The sequence below is a fragment of the Homo sapiens genome, chromosome Y (assembly GCF_000001405.40).
Source record: "Homo sapiens chromosome Y, GRCh38.p14 Primary Assembly".
In the NCBI taxonomy this organism is placed as follows: Eukaryota; Metazoa; Chordata; class Mammalia; order Primates; family Hominidae; genus Homo; species Homo sapiens.
This window is the reverse complement of record NC_000024.10, coordinates 10,626,218-10,627,902: the sequence shown is the minus strand read 5'-3', so window position 1 is coordinate 10,627,902 and position 1,685 is coordinate 10,626,218. Positions and strand designations below refer to the sequence as shown.

At 44.2% G+C, this 1,685-nt stretch overlaps 1 annotated feature.

Annotated features, from left to right (window-relative positions):
- Positions 665-1,303: an enhancer, noted in NCBI's record as "OCT4-NANOG hESC enhancer chrY:13137114-13137752 (GRCh37/hg19 assembly coordinates)". NCBI's record gives its function as "activates a minimal SCP1, AML or CMV promoter by ChIP-STARR-seq in naive H9 embryonic stem cells {active_cell/tissue: H9 hESC(naive)}" and the evidence as "EXISTENCE:reporter gene assay evidence [ECO:0000049][PMID:30033119]".

Sequence of the window (1,685 nt, the reverse complement as noted above, 5' to 3'; positions counted from 1 at the left end):
AATGGAATGGAATGGAATGGAATGGTGAAATTAAATGTGAGCTGAGGTTGTGCCACTGCATTGTAGAATGTGGAGCAGAGTGAGATCCTGTCGAAAGAAAGGGATGGAGTGGAGTGGAATCGATTGAAATGGAATAGAATGCAATGGAGTCGAGTGGAGTTTACTGGAGTGGAGTGGAGTGGAATGCTGTGGAATGGAATGGAATGGGATGGAATGGAGTGGAGTAGAGTGGAGTGGTGTGGAGTGGAGTGAAGTGGAATGGAGTGGAATGGAATGAGATTCAACGAAATGGAGTGGAGTGGAGTGGACTAGAATGATGTGGAGTGGAGTGGAATGGAGTGGAATGGGTGGGATGGATTGGAATGGAATGGAGTGGAGTGGAGTGGAATGGAGTGGAATGGAGTGGGATGGAATGGGATGGAGTGGAGTGGACTGGAGTGGAGTGGCGGGTAATGGAGTGGAATGAAATGGAGTGGAATTGAAGGGAATGGATTTGAGTGGATTGAAGTGGAGTGGACTGAAGTGGAGTGGATTGGAGTTGGGTGCAGTGGAGTGGAATGTTACGGAATGGAATGGAATGGAATGGAATGGAATGGAATGGAATGGAATGGAATGGAATGGAATGGAAGGCAAGGCATTGGAAAGGTGAAGTGAAATATCAGCTAAGATTGTTCCAGTGCACTCCCGCCTGGATGACAGAGTGACATCCTGTCAGAAGAAAGGAATGGAATGGAAGTTAGTGTAATGGAAGGGATTGGGGTAGAATGGAGTGGAGTGGAGTGAAGTGGAATGGAATGGAGTTGAAAGGAATGGAATCGAATGGAATGGAATGGTGAAATGAAATGTGAGCTGAGATTGTGACACTGCAGTCCAGACTTTTTGACAGGGTGAGATCCTGTCAAAATAAAGGAGTGTTATGCAATGGAGTTGAATGGAATGGAATGGAATTGAAACTGAGTATATTGGAGTGGAGTCGAGTGGAGTGGAGTGGAGTCGAGTGGAGTGGAGTGGAGTCGAGTGGAATGTAGTGGAGTGGAATGGGATGGAATGGAATGGAGTGGAGTGGAGTGGTGTGGAGTGGAATGGAATAGAATGGAATGGAATGCCACGGAATGGAATGGAATGTTGAAATGAAATGTGAGCTGACACTGTGCCACTGCACTCCAACCTGGGAGACAGAATGAGATCCTTTCAAAAAATTGTATGGAATACCCTGGATTGGAATAGAGTGGAATCGAAAGGAATGGAATGGAATGGAGTGCATTGGAGTGGAGTGGATTGGAGTGGAATGGAATGGGACGAAATGGAATGCAGTGTAGTGGACTGGAGCACTTTGACGCCTATGGTGGAAAGGGAAATATATTCACATAAAACCTAGACAGAAGCATTCTGAGAAACTTCTGTGTGATTTGTTCATTCTTCTCACAGAGTTGAACCTTTCTTTTTATTGAACAGATTGGAAAAACTCTTTTTGCAGAATCTGCAAGTGGACATATGGAGCGATTTGAGGCATAAGGTGAAAAGAAACTATCTTCACATAAAAACTAGACAGAAGCATTCTGACAAACTTCTTTGTGATATATGCATTGAACTCACAGAGTTGAACTTTAGTTTTGATTGAGCAGTTTTGAAACACCATTTTTTTTAATATCTGCAACTGGACACTTGGAGTACATTGAGGCCTA